Below are 19287 nucleotides of genomic sequence, written 5' to 3'. Positions count from 1 at the left end.
GAAGGTCCCGTCAATGATGAAGATGATGTCCTCCAGCATCCGGTGTCCTCTCCATGCACTATCCTCTCTCCGCTTACTCCCAGTCTCCTTTGCTGAAGGAGTTCTCAGGGGCTCCTTCCTGCGCTTTTAGCGCTCTCCATCTGCACGCTCTCCCTAGATGATCCTTTTGAATCTCTTGGCTTTAAATATTACATACTGTTGATGACTCCCATGTACATAACCATAACCCTAGCCCAGTCTCCTCCCTGTGCCTGTGTGAATGAATCTGGATGCAGATATTCAACTTCCTACCCAATGATTCCTCTGGGATTGTCACAGATGGAAGTCTCCTAGGCTGTCCCCCATCACAACTGCATCTCCCTCCATGCCCCTGGTCTGTAAAATGGCCCCTCGTCCACCTGGCTGCCCAACTCCAAACCATGAAGCTATCCTGATTCCTCTTTTTTTTCATCTTCCATGTATAGCCTATTAGCAAGCACTGTCAGTATTATCTTTTTTTATTTTTATTATTTTTTTTTTGAGACAGGGTCTCGGTCTGTCACTCAGGCTGGAGTGCAGTGTTGTGATCTCGGCTCACTGCAACATCTGCCTCCTGGATTCAAGTGATTCACCCGCCTCAGCCTCCCGAATAGCTGGGACTTTAAGCATGTGCTGCCATGCCTGGCTAATTTTTGTATTTTTAGTAGAGACAGGGTTTCACCATGTTGGCCAGGCTGGTCTCGAACTCCTGACCTCAAGTGATCTGCCCACCTTGGCCTCCCAAAGTGCTGGGATTACAGGCATGAGTCACCATGTCCAGCCTGTCTTTAAAATATATCTTGAGGCTGGGTGTGGGGGCTCACGCCTGTAATCCCAGCACTTTGGGAGGCTGAGGCCGGTGGATCACCTGAGGTCAGGAGTTTAAGACCAGCCTGGCCAACATGGAGAAACCCCATCTCTACTAAAAATAAAAAATTAGCCGGGTGTAGTGGCACGCGCCTATAGTCCCAGCTACTTGGGAAGCTGAGGCAGGAGAATCACTTGAACCCGGGAGGCGGAGGTTGCAGTGAGCCGAGACCACACCACTGCACTCCAGCCTGGGCTACAGAGTGAGACTCCGTCTCAAAAAAAATAAAAAATAAAAATAAAAATAAAAAACGGCCGGGCGTGGTGGCTCACACCTGTAATCCCAGCACTTTGGGAGGCCGAGGCGGGCGGATCACGAAGTCAGGATATTGAGACCATCCTGACTAACACGGCGAAACCTTGTCTCTACTAAAAATACAAAAATTAGCCGGGTGTGGTGGCGGGCACCTGTAGTCCCAGCGACTTGGGAGGCTGAGGCAGGAGAATGGCCTGAACCCGGGAGGCAGAGCTTGCAGTGAGCCCAGATCGCACCACTGCACTCCAGCCTGGGTGGCAGAGGGAGACTCCGTCTCAAAAAAAAAAAATTTAAAAAAATAAAAGTATATCTTGAATTTGCTCCTTATTTCCACCTCCACTGCTCTTACCCTAGGCCAAACCACTGTCTTCCACCTGAACTCCTGTAATTCCTGTTCTATTTGCTTTACACTTGGCCCCTTCAATCCATTCTCCCTCCCCAGCCAAAGAGATCTTCTCAAAACCCAAATAGGTCAGGCATGGTGGGTGGCTCACACCTATAATCTCAGCACAGCACTTTGGGAGGCCGAGGCAGGTTAATCACTTGAGTCCTGGAGTTTGAGACTAGCCTGGGCAACACAGGGAGATGCCATGTCCTTTTATCTAAAAAAAAAAAAAAAAGTTTTTAATTTTTTGTTTTGTTTTATCTTGCTCTTTTTCTTTCTGTCTTTTTTTTTTTTTTTTTTTTTTTTTTGGGACAGAGTCTCACTCTCTCACCAGACTGGAGTGCAGTGGCGCGATCTCGGCTCACTGCAACCTCTGCCTCCCGGGTTCAAGTGATTCTCCTGCCTCAGCCTCCCAAGTAGCTGGGACTGCAAGGGCACGCCACTACACCCAGCTAATTTTTGTATTTTTAGTGGAGACGGGGTTTCACGATGTTGGCCAGGATGGTCTCCATCTCTTGATCTTGTGATCCGCCTGCCTCAGCCTCCCAAAGTCCTGAGATTACAGGTGTGAGCCACCATGCTCGTCCTCTTTGTTTCTATTTTGTTGTTGCTGTTGTTCTGTATTTTGCTCTCAGCAGAATCCGGGACACTTCATCTGGACAAAAATTAAAAATTAAGCCAGGTGTGTTGGCACGGACCTGCAGTCCCAACTACTAGGGAGGCCGAGGTGGGAGAATCGCTTGAGCCCAGGAGTTCGAGGCTGCGGCAAGCCATGATCACACCACTGCACTGCAGCCTGGGCGACAGAGTGAGACCCTGTAACAGCAACAACAAAACATAAACCCCTGCTCAAACCCTTTACTGACTCCCCATCATATTTAGGAGGCTTGCTTTTCCTGGCCCCTTCATTACCTTTTCTGTAATCTCATCTCATCCCATTCTCCCTCCTACTTTCCACATTCCAGTCACACTGACTGCTTTTCAATTCCTCAAACATGGCAAGTTCTTTCCTGCCTCAGGACCTTTGCTCTTGCTATTGTACTTCCTGAAATGTTCTTCTCCCAGGTCTTTGCATAATTGGCTTGGCTGAGTCTCAGCAATAATGTCACCTTCTTCATCCTTTATCTTCTTACCTAAGTTGCCTGCCAAGTTCGATCAAAGCCTGTTCCTCTTGTTCTTTTTAAATTTATCACTAACGTAGTAATAATAATTATTGTTTTTAGGTTTTCACTATTTATTTATGACAAGTATTCCACATTCAATATGCTCTCCAGTCAACAGTTATTTGAGGCCAGGCACAGTGGCTCATGCCTGTAATCCCAACATTTTGGGAGGCCGAGAGGAAGCATATAAGAGCCCGGATGCTGGTAGGTATGGGAAGACAGAAGATAACTCACTGCATAACCAACACCTGGCGGGGCTCCTGGTACTCGGTGGACTTGTGTTCTACGACATGAGATGGCAGCCAAGAAATAAACAAAAAATAATTAAGTGCTTTATCTGCTCATATGAGGTGTGGTGGCAACAGGTGTGGCCTCAACATGCAGAATAATGCTAGTGAGTTTGTGGACGTATATGAAATGCTCCACCAGCAACTGCATCATCAGCATCAAAGACTACACCTCCATCCGGATAAATGTGGCTGAGGTTGATAAAGTCACGAGCAGGTTTAATGGCCAGTTTAAAACCTATGCTTTCGGTGGGGCCATTTGAAGAATGGGCAAGTGAGATGATCTATTCTCCCATCGTCCAATGCTGATGGCATTGCTGATGGCATTGTCTCAAATAACTTTTTTAAGACACTGTGCCCGACCCTTCTTCTGTCTTCCCATACCTACCAGCATGCAGGTTCACTGGGGGCAGACCTAGTAAGTTTGGCTTTTTTTTTTTTTTTTAGATGGATTCTTGCTCTGTTGCCCAGGCTGGAGTGCAGTGGCATGATCTTGGCTCACTGCAACCTCCACCTCCCGGGTTCAAGCAATTCTCCTGCCTCAGCCTCTCAAGTAGCTGGGACTACAGGCGCACGCCACCATGCCTGGCTAATTTTTGTATTTTTAGTAGAGACGAGGTTTTACCATTTTGGCCAGACTGGTCTTGAACTCATGACCTCAAGTGATCCGCCTGCGTCAGCCTCCCAAAGTGCTGGTATTACAGGAGTGAGCCACTGCGCCTGGCCAGTAAGTTTCTTTTTGTTCATTTGTTTGTTTTTTTTTTGTGACAGATTTTCGCTCTTGTTGCCCAGGCTGTAGTACAATGGTGTGATCTTGGCTCACTGCAACCTCCATCTCTGGAGTTCAAGCGATTCTCCTGCCTCAGCCTCTCGAGTAGCTGGGATTACAGGCATGCACCACCACGCCTGGCTAATTTTGTATTTTTAGTAGAGACGGGGTTTCTCCATGTTGATCAGGCTGGTCTCAAACTCCCGACCTCAGGTGAACCACCCGCCTCAGCCTTCCAAAGTGCTGGGATTACAGGCATGAGCCACTGTGTCCTGCCCAGTAAGTTTCTTATCCATCATTTTGTCAGTGGTGTCTAGCTCAGTGCCTGCCAGGTAGCACATGACCAATGAAGAGTGTCTGTACTAACTTATAGGAGGTGAGTTAGTGGTGCAGCCAACACTCTGGGCACAAAGGACTCGAATTCCAAGTGACCTTACAAACTAGAGACCTTATCAAAAACAGAGAATGGAAAAATATCACCTAGGGAAAGACTGAGTGTTTGATATTATGGCTCAAAAACCAATTGTGGGCTCAATTCTACAGCTAGATTAGGCTTCTTATATGGTATTTGTAAAGGGCTATAAAAAAACATCTGCAGGAAGCACGTTCACATCAATTACCTCATTTAATCCTCATACCAACCTAGGCAGTGGATAGGGCAGACGAAATTGTCTTAAGTTTACATACTAGGAAACCTAAATGTAGTTTGGTTATATGATTTCCCCAAGGTCACTGAGCAAGGCAGAGGCAGGCCAGGGACCCTGTGCCTTTTCTCGCCAAGGCTGCATGAGGTGTATAACTCATTTATTCTAGGATCAAAGAAATATTCAAACTTAAACCTTCACATCCTGCAGTACAGACACATCCCTCTTTTCTAAGGCACACATTCCTGGAGACAGCACCTGGGACCCATTCAAGACCCTGAGCCTTTTCTTGTGCCCCAGGCCCCACCTCAGACAGAGACCAAGCTGTTTGAAACAGGGAACAAGCCCAGCCGCGGTAGCTCACACCTATAATCCCAGCACTTTGGGAGGCTGAGACGGGGCGGGGGGAGGTGGGGATCACCTGAGGTCAGGCGTTTGAGACCAGCCTGGCCAACATGGAGAAACCCCGTCTCTACTAAAAACACAAAAATTAGCCAGGCGTGGTGGTGGGTGCCTGTAATCCCAGCTACTCGGGAGGCTGAGGCAGGAGAAACGCTAGAACCTGGGAGGTGGAGGTTGCAGTGAGCCAAGACTGTGCCTTTGCACTCCAGCCTGGGCAACAAGAGGGAAACTCCATCTCAAAAAAAAAAACAAAAAACAACTTTTTGTAGTATACATACAGAGAAACACACTTAAGTGTGCAGGTTAATGAAATCTCACAAAGTGAATATGCCTGTGTGCCTAGCACCCATAGCAAGACATCACACATGGCCAGCTCTTCAGAAGACCCCTGTGCCTTTGCTTAGTCACTATGCCCCCAGAGGGTGACAGTATCCCAAATTCCAACAGTTTTGTTTGCCTCTTTTCTTTAAAAACAAAACAAAACAAAACAAATTTGCTGTCATCCACTTCCTGTTTGAAACTCTTTTCTTTTTCTTTTCATTTTACCTGTCCCTCCCATTCAACCTCTTTTCTACTTTATATAACTACTGATAGATTTTTGTCCTTTTTCCTTATTTCCCCCTCAAAGACTAAGTGTGTCCATGAGGGTCTAGGTTAAATTCCCTTATTGAAAAAAGCTTCCCTCCCTTTCCTCCTTCCTTCCTTCCTTCCTTCCTTCCTTCCTTCCTTCCTTCCTTCCTTCCTTCCTTCCTTCCTTCCTTTCTTTCTTTCTTTCTTTCTTTCTTTCTTTCTTTCTTTCTTTCTTTCTTTCTTTCTGTCTTGACAAGGTCTTGTTCTGTCTCCCAGCCTGCTAGGCTGACGCGATCTCGGCTAACTGCAACCTCCACCTCCCGAGTTCAAATGATCCTCCCACCTCAGCCTCCCCAGTAGGTGGAACTACAGGCGTGCACCACGATGACTAGCTAATTTTTTTTTTTTCTTTTTGAGATGGAGTTTTGCTCTTGTTGCCCAGGCTGTAGTGCAATGGTGCAATCTCAGCTCACTGAGACCTCCGCCTCCTGGGTTCAAGTGATTCTCCTGCTTCAACCTCCCGAGTAGTTGGGAGGCACATGCCGCCACGCATGGCTAATTTTGTATTTTTAGTAGAGATGGGGTTTCACCATCTTGGCCAGGTGGCCTTGAACTCCTGACCTCAGGTGATCTGCATGCCTTGGCCTCCCTAAGTGCTGGGATTATAGGCGTAAGCCATCGCGGCCGGCTAATTTTGTATTTTATATAGACACGGAGTTTCACCATGTTGCCCAGGCTGGGCTTAGACTCCTGGGCTCAAGCCATCCACCCACCTCAGCCTTCCAAAGTGCTGGATTACATGTCTGCGCCACAGTGCCCAACCCAAAAGTCTCATTTCTATACCCTGGCACTGGAGCCTTCTGTGTTTTGCCTGTAACCTATGTTTTCCACTTGGCTTATCTGATGGTTAATTATATGTATCAACCTGTCTGGGCTAAGAGATGCCCAGATAGCTGGTAAAACATTATTTCTGGGTCTGACTGGGACGGTGTTTGCAGAAGAGATAAGCATTTAAATCAGTAGACAGAAAAGTTCCACTTTCACCCACGTGAGCAGGCATCATCCAATCCACTGTGGGTCCAGACAGAACAAAAAGGCAGGGCGAAGGCACATTTGCACCCTCTTCTGGAGCAGGGCCATTCATCTTCTCCTGCCCTTGGACATCACAGCTCCAGGAACTCAGATCTTCAGACTCAGGGTGAAGGACACCACCAGCTTTCCAGGTTCCCCAGCTTGCAGACGGCATACGGTGGGACTTCTTGGCCTTTAGAATCACGTGAGCTAATTCCTGCAATAAATCCCCTCTTTCATATCCTCTTTTTTTTTTTTTTTTTTTGAGACGGAGTCTCACTCTGTCGCCCAGGCTGGAGTGCAGTGGCGTGATCTTGGCTCACTGCAAGCTCCGCCTCCCGGGTTCAGTCCATTCTCCTGCCTCAGCCTCCCAAGTAGCTGGGACTACAGGCGCCTGCAACCACGCCCGGCTAATTTTTTGTAATTTTAGTAGAGACGGGGTTTCACCACGTTAGCCAGGATGGTCTCGATCTCCTGACCTCATGATCCGCCCGCCTCGGCCTCCCAAAGTGCTGGGATTACAGGCGTGAGCCACCGCGCCTGGCCCATATCCTTTTATATATCCCTCTATATATCCTGTTGGTTCTGTTTCTCTGGAGAACCTTGACTAATTCAGTTTCCAATTCTCCAGAACCCTGGGGGTTAATCCTGAGTTCTTTCCCTTCGCATTTCACCTCTCATCAGCGGGCAGCCCCTGTTGGTTTGGTGGAACAAGTAAAGTCATTGAGTACTAACTGAGTACTTCAGTAGTAACCGAACTGAGAACTTACTGTGTGGTAGGCACCACGTGAGGAGCTGGCATACAGAATTAAATAAACCAAGACCTCTGCCCTGGATGCACTGACAATTAGTGAGGGAGAGAAACAGAAAAACAACTTATTTCCATACATTTCTTTCTAAATGCTGTGATGCATGGAGGGAGTATACTTGCACCAGCCTAGGGACTCGGGGTGGTTCCAGGAGAGGCCAAGGTGGGACTTTCTGAGCAAGAATGATCCAGAGGACATTAAGGAGATCCAGGCAGTAGAAATGTGATGGCCTTGAGGAGCTTTTGCAGGGACAACAGAAATGGACATAGCCACACTCTCCTTATCCCCAACACCTTTTTTGAAGGGAGCAGGAGGAAGAAGAATCTGAGAAGAAAGAAAAAAATACAGTCAGAGAAGTAGAAGAACCACTAGGAAATGCAGTCACAAAGTCAAAAGAAGAGAGATTATCCTGAGAGAATACAGCTGTGCCAAATGCCTCCAGAAAATTAAGATGCATATGCAAAAGATTCCCTGGATTGTGCAATTTTGAGGGCATGGCTAATTTACCTGGGCAGTTTCAGAGGAATACAAGAATGCAGCCCAGATTGCCTGGGGTAAAGGGAGGAAGGAAGTGAGGAGGAGGAAATAAATACTGTACGTGGCTTTTTTGAGAAGCTGAGCTGAGAAGGGGAGATGATTGTGGGAACTGGGAGGATGTAAACTTTCCAAAGACAAGGGTGGTAGGGCCGAGCGTGGTGACTCATGTCTGCAATCCCAGCACTTTGGGAGGCTGAGGCGGGAGGGTCACTTGAGCCCAGGAGTTCGAGACCAGCCTGGGCAACATACCCATCTTAAGAAAAAATAAAGAAAGGGAGGTCAGCATTGAAATATGGAGGACACCCAAAGGAGGGGTCTTCAGTACTCGAGGCAGGGAAGAGAGGTCCCTCATGGGAAAGTGGGGTCGTGGATAAGGGGAGGTGGGGGATGAGGAAATGCCCTTCTCATGACCAGTTGCCAAAAATCAGGAAGCAAGGTTATTTGCTGGGAGTAGGGGAGAATGGTTAGGTAAGGAATTTGGGGTCATTCGAGGGTAAGAGGTTACTTCCATTAGCTGGGCTTCAGATCTGCCGGAGCTGCAGAGTGAACTGGGGTGGAGGAGGCAGAAGCAAACCCTGCTTCTTTGAGCCCCTTGGGCATAGATCCGTGCCCACCAGTGTGCTTTTGTGTCAGACAGATTCCAGAACTAACATTCTGAGTTCAGGGTGTGTGCATTTAAACGCTCTCTTTTTTCAAGGGGTAGGGGGTTGTGGGGGAGACAAGGTCTCACTCTGTTGCCCAGGCTGGAGTGGCACTTAATGCCACTGAGTGGTACACTTAAAAGTGGTTAAAAAGGTAAATTTTGGCTGGGCGTGGTGGCTCACACCTGTAATCCCAGCACTTTGGGAGGCCAAGGCAGGTGGATCACCTGAGGTCAGGAGTTCGAGAGCAGCCTGACCCACATGGTGAAACCCCATCTCTACTAAAAATACAAAAATTAGCCGGGTGTGGTGGCGCATGCCTGTAATCCCAGCTACTCAGGAGGCTGAGGCAGGAGAATCGCCTGAACCCAGGAGGCAGAGGTTGTAGTTAGCCAAGATCATGCCATTGCACTCTAGCCTGGGCAACAAGAGCAAAACTCTGTCTCAAAAAAAAAAAAAGTTAATTTTATTATACATATATTTTATCACAATGAAAAAAGGAATGAAATATTGAAGCACACTACAATGTAGTTGAACCTTGAAAACATGGGAAGTGAAAGAAGCCAGTCACAAAAGACCACATATTAGTATATAATTCATATAATTCCATTTATACTAAATGTTCAGAATAGTCAAATCCATAGAAAGAGAGTGAAGATTAGTGGTTGCCGGGGCTGGGGGAAGAGGAGAAATAGGAAATGACTGCTAATAGATATGGAGTTTCTTTTAGGAGTGATAAAAATGTTCTAAAATTAGTGGTACTTGTACAGCTTTGTGAACATACTGAAAACCACCAAATTGTATACTTTACAATTGTTTACTTTTTTTGTTTGTTTGTTTTTGACACTGAGTCTTGCTCTATTGCCCAGGTTGGTGCGCAGTGGTGCGATTTCAGCTCACTGCAACCTCTGCCTCCCAGGTTCAAGTGATTTTCCTGCCTCAGCCTCCCAAGTAGCCGGGACTACACGTGTATGTCACCATGCCTGGCTAATTTTTGTAGTTTTAGTAGAGACAGGGTTTCACTGTGTTCACCAAGCTGGTCTCCAACTCCTGACCTCAAGTGGTCCACCTGTGTCGGCCTCCCAGAGTGCTAGGATTATAGGTGTGAGCCACCAGGCATGGCCACAATTGTTTACTTTAAATGATATATTCTAAAATGTATACCTTAAAATGGGAGTATTATGGGTACATGAATTATATTTCAAAAAAAATAAAAGCAAGCCTGGCGGTGGAGTGGGGAGAAGCCTACGTGGTATACATGCTATACGGTGCCTATCTCATAGATCATTCAGCCATTCCCTGATCGATGGATGTTTAGGTTGTTTTCAGGTTTTTTGTTTTTGTTTTGCTACTTGAAACAATGCTTCAATGCACATCATTGAACACGCACGCACGCACACACACACACACACACACACACACACGTCATTTCAGGCAGGTCTTGGTCCTGCCACGCAGCCCTAGATCTGTTATGTCTTAGTATGAGACAGATGTAGAAAGTGTGAATTCTGCTGACATCAAGAGATGGTGCAGGCCAGGAGTGGTGGCTCACTCCTATAATCCCAGCACTTTGGGAGGCCAAGGCAGGTGGTTCACTTGAGGCCAGGAGTTTGAGACCAGCCTGGCCAACATGGTGAAACCCTGTCTCTACTAAAATTACAAAAATTAGTGGGGGGTGGTGGCAAACACCTCTAATCCCAGCTATTTGGGAGGCTGAGGCAGGAGAATTGCTTGAGCCAAGATTGTACCACTGCACTCCAGCCTGGCCAACAGAGCAAGACTCCGTCTCAAAATAAATAAATAAATAAATAAATAAATAAATAAAATGGCTTTTACAGATGAACATTTGCCATCAATTTGATGATAGGAAAGACTAACTTTGAACCCCAAGTAAGCAAAATCTTATTTTCCCCACCCCCCAAATTCTATTATTTTCATTAGTAGACCTGTATTATAAAAATATTATGCTCAATATGACTGGGCACGGTGGCTCACGCCTGTAATTCCTAGCACTTTGGGAGGCGGAGGCAGATGGATCAAGAGGTCAGGAGTTCAATACCAGCCTGGCCAAGATGGTGAAACCCTGTCTCTACTAAAAATACAAAAAATTAGCTGGGTGCGGTGGCAGGCGCCTGTAATCCCAGCTACTCGGGAGGCTGAGGCAGGAGAACCGCTTGAACTCAGAGGGAGGAGATTGCAGTGAGCCAACATCCCACCACTGCACTCCAGCCTGGGCGACAGAGTGAGACTCCATCTCAAAAAACAAAACAAAACAAACAAAAAAATATATTATGCTCAATCATTATTATATTTTGAATTTCATCAATAAGAAATCTGTGGAAATTTGTTTTCTATCATTATATAAGTACTGTCACCTTTTTTTTTTGAGACGGAGTTTCGCTCTTGTTGCCCAGGCTGGAGTACAATGGTGCGATCTCAGCTCACTGCAACCTCCACCTCCCAGGTTCAAGTGATTCTCCTGCCTCAGCCTCCCAAGTAGCTGGGACTACAGGCATGCGCCACCATGCCCGGCTAATTTTGTATTTTTAGTAGAGACGGGGTTCACCATGTTGGTCAGGCTGGTCTCGAACTCCTGACCTCAAGTGATCCACCCATCTCGGCCTCCCAAAGTGCTGGGATTACAAGCGTGAGCCACGGCGCCTGGCCCCTATCATTATATAAGTACTGTACCTATATAATGTCATCAATTTTACCTCTTGGCCCACAAAACCTAAAACATTTATTATCTAGCTCTTTCCAGAAAACGTTTGCCCCAGGTCTAGACTCCAGAGAGATGTTGAAAATAACATTGAAAAGTACTGTATGAAGATGGAATAGCCCCAAGCTACAATTACCTCTCAAAAATAACACAGCCTGGAAATGACTGAAATTTCAATCAAATTAACCAGGTCATGAAACGTTCTTGATATATTCTGCTGATTTAGTTTAGAGAAGTTAAGGGAGGAGGAAAAAAAAACCTTGTTTGTATGAGCTGTAATAGAAAGGAAGATGAATGGAAAATAAAAGGAAAAGCAACTGAAGAGGAAAAATTTGATGTATTTTTTTAATTGATGATAATGGTAAAAATAATTATGTAAAAATAATGATATCGAACACCTACATATTCATGCACTGAATAAGCACTTTATATACATTTAATCCTTGTAAGACGTTGAAAGACAGAAGTCAGAGCTATCTGCTGATACCAAAGCCAGTTTGTCAGCAGTAAAATCTCCAAAAAAAAAAGAAGAAAAAGAAGCCGAGACTAGAGATTAAGGGCCTTGAATGCTACACTGGGAAAGGTTTATTCTTTCTTTATTTAGCTATTAAATTTTTATTTATTTATTTATTTATTTATTTATTTATTTATTTTTGAGACGGAGTTCATTCTTGTTGCCCAGGCTGGAGTGCAATGGCACAATCTCGGCTCACCGCAACCTCCACCTCCTGGGTTCAAGCGCTTCTCCTGCCTCAGCCTCCTGAGTAGCTGGGATTACAGGCATGCGCCACCATGCTCGGCTAATTTTGTATTTTTAGTAGAGACAGGGTTTCTCCATGTTGGTCAGGCTGGTCTCGAACTCCCGACCTCAGGTGATCCACCTGCCTCGGCCTCCCAAAGTGCTGGGATTACAGGCGTGAGCCACCGCACCCGGCCTAAACTTTTAATTAATTAATTTATTTATTTATTTATTCAGAGATGGGGTCTCCCCATGTTGCCTAGTGTGGTCTCAAACTCCTGGCAAAGGCGATCCTCCTGCCTTGGTCTCCCAAAATGCTGGGATTACAGGTGTGAACTACTGTGCCTGGTCTCCAATTATCCTTTTGACTGGGAGGCCCTGAAGGATTTTCAGAAAAGGTGTGAGATTATCAGTTCTGTGCTCTGGGATGATAACAAGGATAGTTTCAGGAGATTAGTCTTGAGTCCAACAGGCCAGAGAGAAACTTTTTCGATGGTTAACAGTCCAAGAAAGAGCCAGTGAGGGTCAGTATCTGTGTTGGATGAGAAGAGAATTTCAGAAATACTTCCCAGCTTGACCACAGGTGACAGAGTGGACATGTAGGCTATGGGGCAAGGACTCAAAGACCAGTTTGAAGTTTCTGGTAGCAAAATGAGAGAACTCAGATAAGAAACCAGTTTATGGGAGAAAATAATGCATCAATAGTGGAGATTATTTGCAATTCCTGGAGAATATTCAGGGCAGGTTGTTCAAGGGACAATTGGAAATGTGTCTACAAGTTCAGAAAGATGTCTGTCTTGTCTAGGGAGAGAGGTTTGGGAACCACGAGGAGATGGCTGACCTTCAGAGGGGGTTAGAGAAGGAGAGGGCAGGGGAGAAAGGAGATATGAGGGGAAACTAACATTTCTAGACTGGAGTCTGAGAAACTCACATCACTGAGAGGGAAGGGGGGTGTATGGATAGTTAGCAAGAAACAGTGGTATTATCACAAGAATAGAATTTCGAGTGAGAAGTCAGTGGACTGTTACAGAGCCATCAAAGAAGAAAAGGACTGTAAACCTGTAATTGGTTTTGGCAATTAGAAGGTCACAGATGACATCTGATAAAACAGGGAGGGACAGTGCCTGAGGGGTGATGGCAGGGGAGGTTGGGCAGAGGAAGGCAGGCAGGACGGCTGGGCAGACTGGGACTATGGAAGGTTTTTCAGGATAGAGAAAAATGGTAAATGCCTAGAGAGGGAGAGGGAGACACTGAAGATTCCACAGTTCATGGAATAACGATGGGGAGGGGATAGACTTAAAAGCTCAGGGGGTCTTGACCCTGGAACTTCCCTTCCCTTCTAATCAGAAGACTCCACATTCCTTGCTAAGCAAACACATCGTATTAAAAAAAAAAAAAAGGTTGGCTGGAATACGCTCTATGCTCTCACTGGTGTAGAATGATGGTTACGGGGCAATGCGTGAGTTTTTCTCTGGGTGCTGGTCACAGCATTTTTGTTGTTGTTGTTTTTGTTTTGTTTTGTTTTGTTTTTGAGACGGAGTCTTGCTCTGTCGCCCAGGCTGGAGTGCGGTGGCGCGATCTCGGCTCACTGCAAGCTCCGCCTCCCGGGTTCACGCCATTCTCCTGCCTCAGCCTCCCGAGTAGCTGGGACTACAGGCGCCCGCCACCACGCCCGGCTAATTTTTTTGTATTTTTAGTAGAGACGGGGTTTCACCGTGTTTGCCAGGATGGTCTCGATCTCCTGACCTCGTGATCCGCCTGCCTCGGCCTCCCAAAGTGCTCGGATTACAGGCTTGAGCCACCGCGCCCGGCCGCATCTTTGTTTTTTATTTTCTCCATCTTCAACGGGGATCAAAACATTCGACATTATTGAATTTTGCAATCCAACACTTTCTTTTCCCTACTTACTGAATCCCAGTAGGGATTGTGAACTTCAAATATCTGAGACAGGTCTCAGTCAAATTAGAAGGTTCATTTTGTCAAGGTTAAGGATGGGCGCCCGTGACGCATAAAACCAAGCTTAGCTGGACCTGGTGGTGTGGTCCTGTCATCCCAGCTACTTAGGAGGCCAAGGTTGGGGGATCCCTTGAGCCTGGAAGGTTGATGCTGCAGCCTTAATTGTGCCGTTGCACTCCAGCCTGGGTGACAGAGTGAGACCTTGTCTCTAAAAAATTAAATATAAGCAAATAAAAATGCAGTTATTAGATAAATAAATGGGAAGACACATTATTGTCAAGACACAGACCACACTTGCCTATTTCATAAAATTCCTTTAGTTGCTGCTCCCCCAACTGCATTAATATGTGTGATGTCACTTTCCAAAACTGTGTAAAACACATAAATAATTCTGATTATAAAATCAATTTCTCTCCATGTGAGGTCAGACAGACACCGTCTACAATTCTGTTTCTCAAGAGTTGCCCGGGAACTAGTACATTATCATTCAGTTAGTAAAGCAACCATGACAACGGTTTCAAGATGGAAGGTGTTAAGAAAGTACTAATTATTAGAACATTTAAAAAATTGTATTCAGATTTCAGCAGTGGCTCAATACGTGTGGTCCCCAGACCAGTAGCATCAGCATCACCTGGGAACTTGGCAGAAATGCAGATTCTGGAGCCTCACGCCAGACCTCCAGCCTTAGCAACTCTGGGGGTGGGGCCCAGCCATCTGCATCTTAATGAAGTCCTCAAAGTGAGGCTGCCCAGCTCTAAGACCGAGGGCCAGGGATTTACACTTGGCCTTTCTGCTTAGCGGTCCAAGAACCTCACCCGGGGGCATCACCTGGGGACAATTTAGAAGTGCAGACTTTTGGGCTGCACCCCAGAGCCACTGAATGTGAACCCGCCCCTAGCCTAACACGACCCCCAGAGAATTCACGTCTGAAAAGCCTTGGTCTGTATTACGATCTCTGCATGAGGTAAGAAGGACTTCTTCTCCAGTTAGGTTAAAAAAACTGGCTACCTAAGTGGAGAAGCGGTGAAATTGTTTTAAAACATCCAACCCACTGAGCCCAATGCACCACAAACTGCTTGCTTATCACGCTCGAGCAATGACAGGGCTCGGTGGCAGGCGGGGTAAAAAGGGGGGACCTGGACCAGGACACTCAGGGACCAGCGCTCTGCTTGCCAGGTGGGTCCCCAGGAACAGGTGTGACTGGTGGGAAGGGTCGCGAAGGGGGGCGATCTTTCTGCGCAGGGGAGGGAAATGAAAGGAACGGGAAGGGGACGGCTGGGTGCGAGGCCCGGGATGTTCCGGGGAGCGCTGCCGGGTGCCAGGGAGCAGCCCCTCCCCGGGGGGAGGCCCGAGGGCAGGGGTCGGGGGCGGGGAGGGAGGTGGGCCCCAGACCGGCGCGGGGGCGGGCGGCTCCGCTGCACCCCGCCCCCGGCCCGCCCCTCCGCGGCGCCATTTTGCAGGCGGCTGTCGCGGGGACCGGAGGCGGAGGCTGCAGCGGGCACTGCGGCGCCGAGGCGCGGCGGCAGGACGGGAACCACGCGAGCTGCAGCCAGGTGAGAGCCCGGCCGCCGCGCCCCCTGCCCGGCCTGCGGGCCGCACCTGCCGGCGGGGCCGCGAGGTGCTCGCCGCGCCCACGAGGCCGGCCTGGCACGGCCCCCGCGCGCTGTCACCCACCGGCCCCGCGGCGCGGCCTGCGCGCCCCCACCCCGACCCATCTCCCGGGACCCCGCGCCCGCCGGCCACCCTGGCCCCGGGGCCCAAGATGCCCGGCGGCCCTCAGCTCCTGCCGTTCTGCCGGCCGGGCCGGGCCCCCGGGGTACCCACCCCTTCCCGCCACGGGAGCCACAGCGCGCTCGGGCCCTCAGGCCGCGCAGCGGGGAGGCAAATGGGGCGCCCCCAGAACCCCACTGGCTGCCGCCGCCTCCTCCCGGGCTCTGCGCCCGCGCGTCCTGGGGTCGCTTCCCTCGCCCCTCCCCCGGTGGTGCGCACGGGCATCGTCTCGCCCCCTGGAATTCAGGGGCATCAGGAGGGGCGGCAAGAGGGTGCCTTTTACATTCTTGCTTTCTTCCCTTCTACAAAGACTGCGCGAAGTAATTTTAGAAGCAGCTCCTCCGACCCCGGGGCCTTTCTGGCCTGTTCCCTGGGGGGTCGCGAGTCCCCCTCCTTGCCACCTTTCGGGGGGAAAAAATGACATTTCGAGTGTGACTACTTTAAGGCGCAGGATTTTCTCCTTCGTTTGGTCCTAGATGCCCCCCCTTGGATGGGTGGCTGATAGGATGTCGGCCTGCAGGCTGGGGGTTTAAGCGTGACTGATGGGAAATTATCGATTGTCAGGGCAAAGGGTAAATGAGGGCAACTGCAGGTGGAAGAAAGTCACCCATAAGGGCTTTCTGGGTCTGCAGCGTTTGTAGTAGGTGCTACTTCTATTCTTGCAGTGCTGGGAGACGGGCGGGGGAAGATGCAGTCCCTGCTGACAATTGGGTCATCTGCGCGCAGAGAAGGCCCCGGGATGTGCGAGGACATGGGACTGGGAGTCCGGAGGCAGTCTGGTTTGAGCTGTCACTAATTGGCCATGTGACCTCCCTCAGCCGGCTTCGTCCTCTCTGAAGCAAAAGGCTGGAATTGGGGTGGCTGGAGCATTTTTATTTTATGCTTTTGTATTTGAATGCTGTTGGGTTTGGGCCTCACCGTTTCTGGTTGTCTACACCTGCCTTTTTCACCGTTGCAGGTGACGTTGCCTGCCTCCCCTGAAGGTGTTTGAACCTGGTGAGATGTATAAAGGGCCCTTTTCAGCTCAAAAAATCAGAATTCTGTGCTGGGTTATGGTTGGCTCTATCAGGGTCACTTATGAACGTATTACTACTGTTCTCTTTTCATTCATCCCCAATTTAATGGCTTTTGGGCACCAGTGGGTGTGCCCAGTGTAAGCTCTCATGGCACACCTGCTAGTTAAAGGGAGGCAGCAGGTGTGTCCAGCCTGTTCCATGTGACATCCTGAGCATGAGGTATCTGCTTTCTAGGCTATTTCCTTTGCCAAAATGGCAACCAGCTTCTTTCTTTTAATACCAAGGCATTTCTCTTTTGGTTTCTTTGCTTAGAGTGGAGGGTGATTTTTTAAGACAATAGGTATTTCAGGAACTTTTTATGTTGACAGTATTTTAGATGGTTGTCTGGCAGTTGTATTCTCTGACTGTGGCACGGTCAATTAAGTCAATTAAGTTTAAACATCTGTTGACATGTTTAAAAAATGCCTATTGAAGTACCTGGGCCGGGTGTTGTGGTTCACACCTGTAATCCCAGCACTTTGGGAGGCTGAGGTGGGAGGATTGTTTGAGGCCAAGAGTTCAAGACCAGCCTAGGCAACCCAGCAAGACTCCTGTTTCTATAAAAAAAAAAAAAAAATAGCTGAGTATGGCGGCCAGCTTAAAAAAAACCAGTACCTGGCTAGAAAAATGTAGATGGTTTTGCTAGGTTTCATGCCATACTATCTATCTCATTGATGGAGCAAACTCTAGTCTATGTAGCATTGCAGAAGTGAGTCATGTGTCCCGGGGCAGGCAAGCACATGTAGCCACCCACTGAGTAGTCTGTCCATCTGTGTCTGCCCATCCATCCATCCACTTGGTGACCAGGTTCTGTTGAACAGATCGTTGTTGAATAAACTGTGTCTTTTGCCCTCACAGAGCCTAAGGTCTAGTTTGTGGGGTGTTTGAAATCCCGAATTGGCTATTGTTGTCCTCTTCAGTGTCTCTAAAGACAAACCAGGGATCTATTTGGGGACCTATATTCTGGTACCACTGGTAGCTTGAGGAATTTTCCCATTTTGGTTAAGGTAATTAAAAGCAGTAGGCCGGGGCTGGGCATGGTGGCTCATGCCTGTAATCGCAGCACTTTGGGAGGCTGAGGCGGGCAGGTCGCTTGAGCTCAGGAGTTCGAGAGCAGCCTGGCCACCATGGTGAAACCTCGTCTCTACTAAAAATACAAAAGTTAGCCGGGCATGGTGGCGCATGCCTGTATTTCCGGCTACTCAGGAGGCTGAGGCAGGAGAATCGCTTGAACCTGGGAGGTGGAGTTTGCAGTGAGTCGAGATCGTGCCACTGCACTCCAGCCTGGGTGACAGAGTGAGACTGTCTCCTAAAAAAAAAAAAAAAAAGATCAACAGTAATGATTTGAAATTATATGGTGCTTTGTACATGTAAATTGAAGCTTTTTAAAAACGTATTTATATTTAATCCTCTTAGGCTTTTTAAATTTAAACATCTTACAGTCCTTCCTGAACCGTTTCCTGGCCTTGCCCATAAAACTCTCACACACCAGTCTGTTGGTTCCCAGTGCCCAGTAACCTCACCTCATTAATTCATTTTCATGCCCTGCTATTCCTCCAGTTGTTCTCTGGGCTTGCTTTTATTCTTTCTGTAGGGAACCATCCTCCTCCAGGTTAAGCTGTGCATTGCAGCCTCTAGGTTGAAACGAGCCCTTTGTGCGCTATGCCGTTCTTCTCATTTTCTCTGTGGCTTTGCTATTTTGAACCTGTTATTTCGTCACAGGTTCTAGGTTCTTGGCTCTCCTGTAATTGAGGTCTGCTTTCAGCTTGCACCTTTCATAGGCCTTTCATACATTTATTACATTGAGTGCCTGATCTGTGCTGGGTAATATTCTTGGTGCTTGGGATGCTGCAGGGAGATTCCCAGCCCACATGGAGCCCACACTGTAGGGATGTGGACAATGAGATCTGGTTCTGTGAAGAGGAATCTGACAAGGCTCGGGGGATTAAGTGTGGGGATGGGAGTTGATATTTTTGGAAGGGTAGACAGGGAGGAAGGTATATGAGTCTGCTAACACTGCCATAACAAAAATAGCACAGTGTGGGTGGCTTAAACAACGGAAATTTGTTTCGTATAATTCTGGAGTCTGGGAAGTCCAAGGTCAAGGTTCTGGCCTCTTTAGTTTCTGGTGAGGGCTTTCTTCCTGGCTTGTAGGTGGCCATCCTCTTGATGAGTCCTCACATGGCCTTTTCTTGGTGCCATTTATCTTTCTGTTCAAGCACTGTTGGTCACACCTGTAATCCCAGCACTTCAGGAGGCTGAGGCAGGAGGATCACTTGAGACCAGTCTAGGCAACATAATAAGACTCTGTCTCTACAAAATAAAATAAAATAAAATAAAAAATTCGCTGGACGTGGTAGTAGTGCCTGTAGTCCCAGCTACTCAGGAGGCTGAGGTGGGAGGATTGCTTGAGCCCAAGAGGTTGAGGCTGCAGTGAGCCATGATTGTGCCACTGCACACCAGCCTGGGTGACAAAGCTACTTTGTTTAAAAAAATAAAGTTTTCCTATTGGATCAGGGCCCCATCCTTAAGAACTCATTTAAACTTGGTTACCTCCTAAAGGCTCTATCTCTAAATACAGCCACATTGTGGGGGTAGGGCTTCAATATAATGAATTCTTTCGGTGGTG

The 19287-nt window shown here is 47.9% G+C and overlaps 1 protein-coding gene and 1 pseudogene across 2 annotated transcripts in view, besides 22 other annotated features; both read left to right on the top strand.

Moving 5' to 3' along the window:
* RPS21P7 (ribosomal protein S21 pseudogene 7) lies at positions 3068-3319 on the top strand (annotated as a pseudogene).
* Positions 6263-6680: a mobile genetic element.
* Positions 6263-6764: a biological region, named in NCBI's record as "SLC23A2 promoter P1". NCBI's record gives its function as "regulatory_interactions: SLC23A2".
* Positions 6395-6424: a protein binding site, noted in NCBI's record as "E box 1". NCBI's record gives its function as "important for promoter activity; blocked by cytosine methylation" and the evidence as "EXISTENCE:protein binding evidence [ECO:0000024][PMID:21770893]".
* Positions 6413-6441: a protein binding site, noted in NCBI's record as "Y box". NCBI's record gives the evidence for it as "EXISTENCE:protein binding evidence [ECO:0000024][PMID:21770893]".
* Positions 6479-19287, top strand: part of SLC23A2 (solute carrier family 23 member 2) — a 157956-nt gene continuing 145147 nt past the window's right edge. The window contains exon 1 of one of the 2 annotated variants that reach the window (NM_203327.2): positions 6479-6610. The gene's annotated coding sequence lies outside the window, so the exon portion shown is untranslated. Of the gene's footprint in view, positions 6611-15281; positions 15387-19287 lie in introns of those variants that run through there. The other variant, NM_005116.6, reaches the window with a different exon arrangement.
* Positions 6490-6517: a protein binding site, noted in NCBI's record as "TSSC YY1 site". NCBI's record gives its function as "positive regulation of promoter activity" and the evidence as "EXISTENCE:protein binding evidence [ECO:0000024][PMID:22532872]".
* Positions 6499-6764: a promoter, noted in NCBI's record as "delta7 P1 promoter fragment". NCBI's record gives the evidence for it as "EXISTENCE:reporter gene assay evidence [ECO:0000049][PMID:16380174]".
* Positions 6623-6652: a protein binding site, noted in NCBI's record as "E box 2". NCBI's record gives the evidence for it as "EXISTENCE:protein binding evidence [ECO:0000024][PMID:21770893]".
* Positions 12650-13300: an enhancer, noted in NCBI's record as "NANOG-H3K27ac hESC enhancer chr20:4984138-4984788 (GRCh37/hg19 assembly coordinates)". NCBI's record gives its function as "activates a minimal SCP1, AML or CMV promoter by ChIP-STARR-seq in naive H9 embryonic stem cells {active_cell/tissue: H9 hESC(naive)}" and the evidence as "EXISTENCE:reporter gene assay evidence [ECO:0000049][PMID:30033119]".
* Positions 13301-13952: an enhancer, noted in NCBI's record as "H3K27ac hESC enhancer chr20:4983486-4984137 (GRCh37/hg19 assembly coordinates)". NCBI's record gives its function as "activates a minimal SCP1, AML or CMV promoter by ChIP-STARR-seq in primed H9 embryonic stem cells {active_cell/tissue: H9 hESC(primed)}" and the evidence as "EXISTENCE:reporter gene assay evidence [ECO:0000049][PMID:30033119]".
* Positions 14737-14886: an enhancer, noted in NCBI's record as "active region_17504". NCBI's record gives its function as "activates an Ori minimal core promoter by ATAC-STARR-seq in GM12878 lymphoblastoid cells {active_cell/tissue: GM12878}" and the evidence as "EXISTENCE:reporter gene assay evidence [ECO:0000049][PMID:35858748]".
* Positions 15177-15416: a silencer, noted in NCBI's record as "silent region_12652". NCBI's record gives its function as "represses an Ori minimal core promoter by ATAC-STARR-seq in GM12878 lymphoblastoid cells {active_cell/tissue: GM12878}" and the evidence as "EXISTENCE:reporter gene assay evidence [ECO:0000049][PMID:35858748]".
* Positions 15186-15215: a protein binding site, noted in NCBI's record as "GC box 4". NCBI's record gives the evidence for it as "EXISTENCE:protein binding evidence [ECO:0000024][PMID:21335086]".
* Positions 15186-15215: a protein binding site, noted in NCBI's record as "GC box 4". NCBI's record gives the evidence for it as "EXISTENCE:protein binding evidence [ECO:0000024][PMID:21335086]".
* Positions 15195-15393: a promoter, noted in NCBI's record as "delta6 P2 promoter fragment". NCBI's record gives the evidence for it as "EXISTENCE:reporter gene assay evidence [ECO:0000049][PMID:16380174]".
* Positions 15221-15249: a protein binding site, noted in NCBI's record as "GC box 3". NCBI's record gives the evidence for it as "EXISTENCE:protein binding evidence [ECO:0000024][PMID:21335086]".
* Positions 15221-15249: a protein binding site, noted in NCBI's record as "GC box 3". NCBI's record gives the evidence for it as "EXISTENCE:protein binding evidence [ECO:0000024][PMID:21335086]".
* Positions 15244-15271: a protein binding site, noted in NCBI's record as "GC box 2". NCBI's record gives the evidence for it as "EXISTENCE:protein binding evidence [ECO:0000024][PMID:21335086]".
* Positions 15244-15271: a protein binding site, noted in NCBI's record as "GC box 2". NCBI's record gives the evidence for it as "EXISTENCE:protein binding evidence [ECO:0000024][PMID:21335086]".
* Positions 15260-15284: a protein binding site, noted in NCBI's record as "GC box 1". NCBI's record gives the evidence for it as "EXISTENCE:protein binding evidence [ECO:0000024][PMID:21335086]".
* Positions 15273-15299: a protein binding site, noted in NCBI's record as "Inr". NCBI's record gives its function as "positive regulation of promoter activity" and the evidence as "EXISTENCE:protein binding evidence [ECO:0000024][PMID:21335086]".
* Positions 15607-15766: a silencer, noted in NCBI's record as "silent region_12651". NCBI's record gives its function as "represses an Ori minimal core promoter by ATAC-STARR-seq in GM12878 lymphoblastoid cells {active_cell/tissue: GM12878}" and the evidence as "EXISTENCE:reporter gene assay evidence [ECO:0000049][PMID:35858748]".
* Positions 17794-18294: an enhancer, noted in NCBI's record as "H3K4me1 hESC enhancer chr20:4979144-4979644 (GRCh37/hg19 assembly coordinates)". NCBI's record gives its function as "activates a minimal SCP1, AML or CMV promoter by ChIP-STARR-seq in naive H9 embryonic stem cells {active_cell/tissue: H9 hESC(naive)}" and the evidence as "EXISTENCE:reporter gene assay evidence [ECO:0000049][PMID:30033119]".

The sequence above is a fragment of the Homo sapiens genome, chromosome 20 (assembly GCF_000001405.40).
Source record: "Homo sapiens chromosome 20, GRCh38.p14 Primary Assembly".
Classification (NCBI taxonomy): Eukaryota; Metazoa; Chordata; class Mammalia; order Primates; family Hominidae; genus Homo; species Homo sapiens.
The sequence above is the reverse complement of the archived record's forward strand: the minus strand, read 5'-3'. Positions and strand labels throughout refer to the sequence as shown.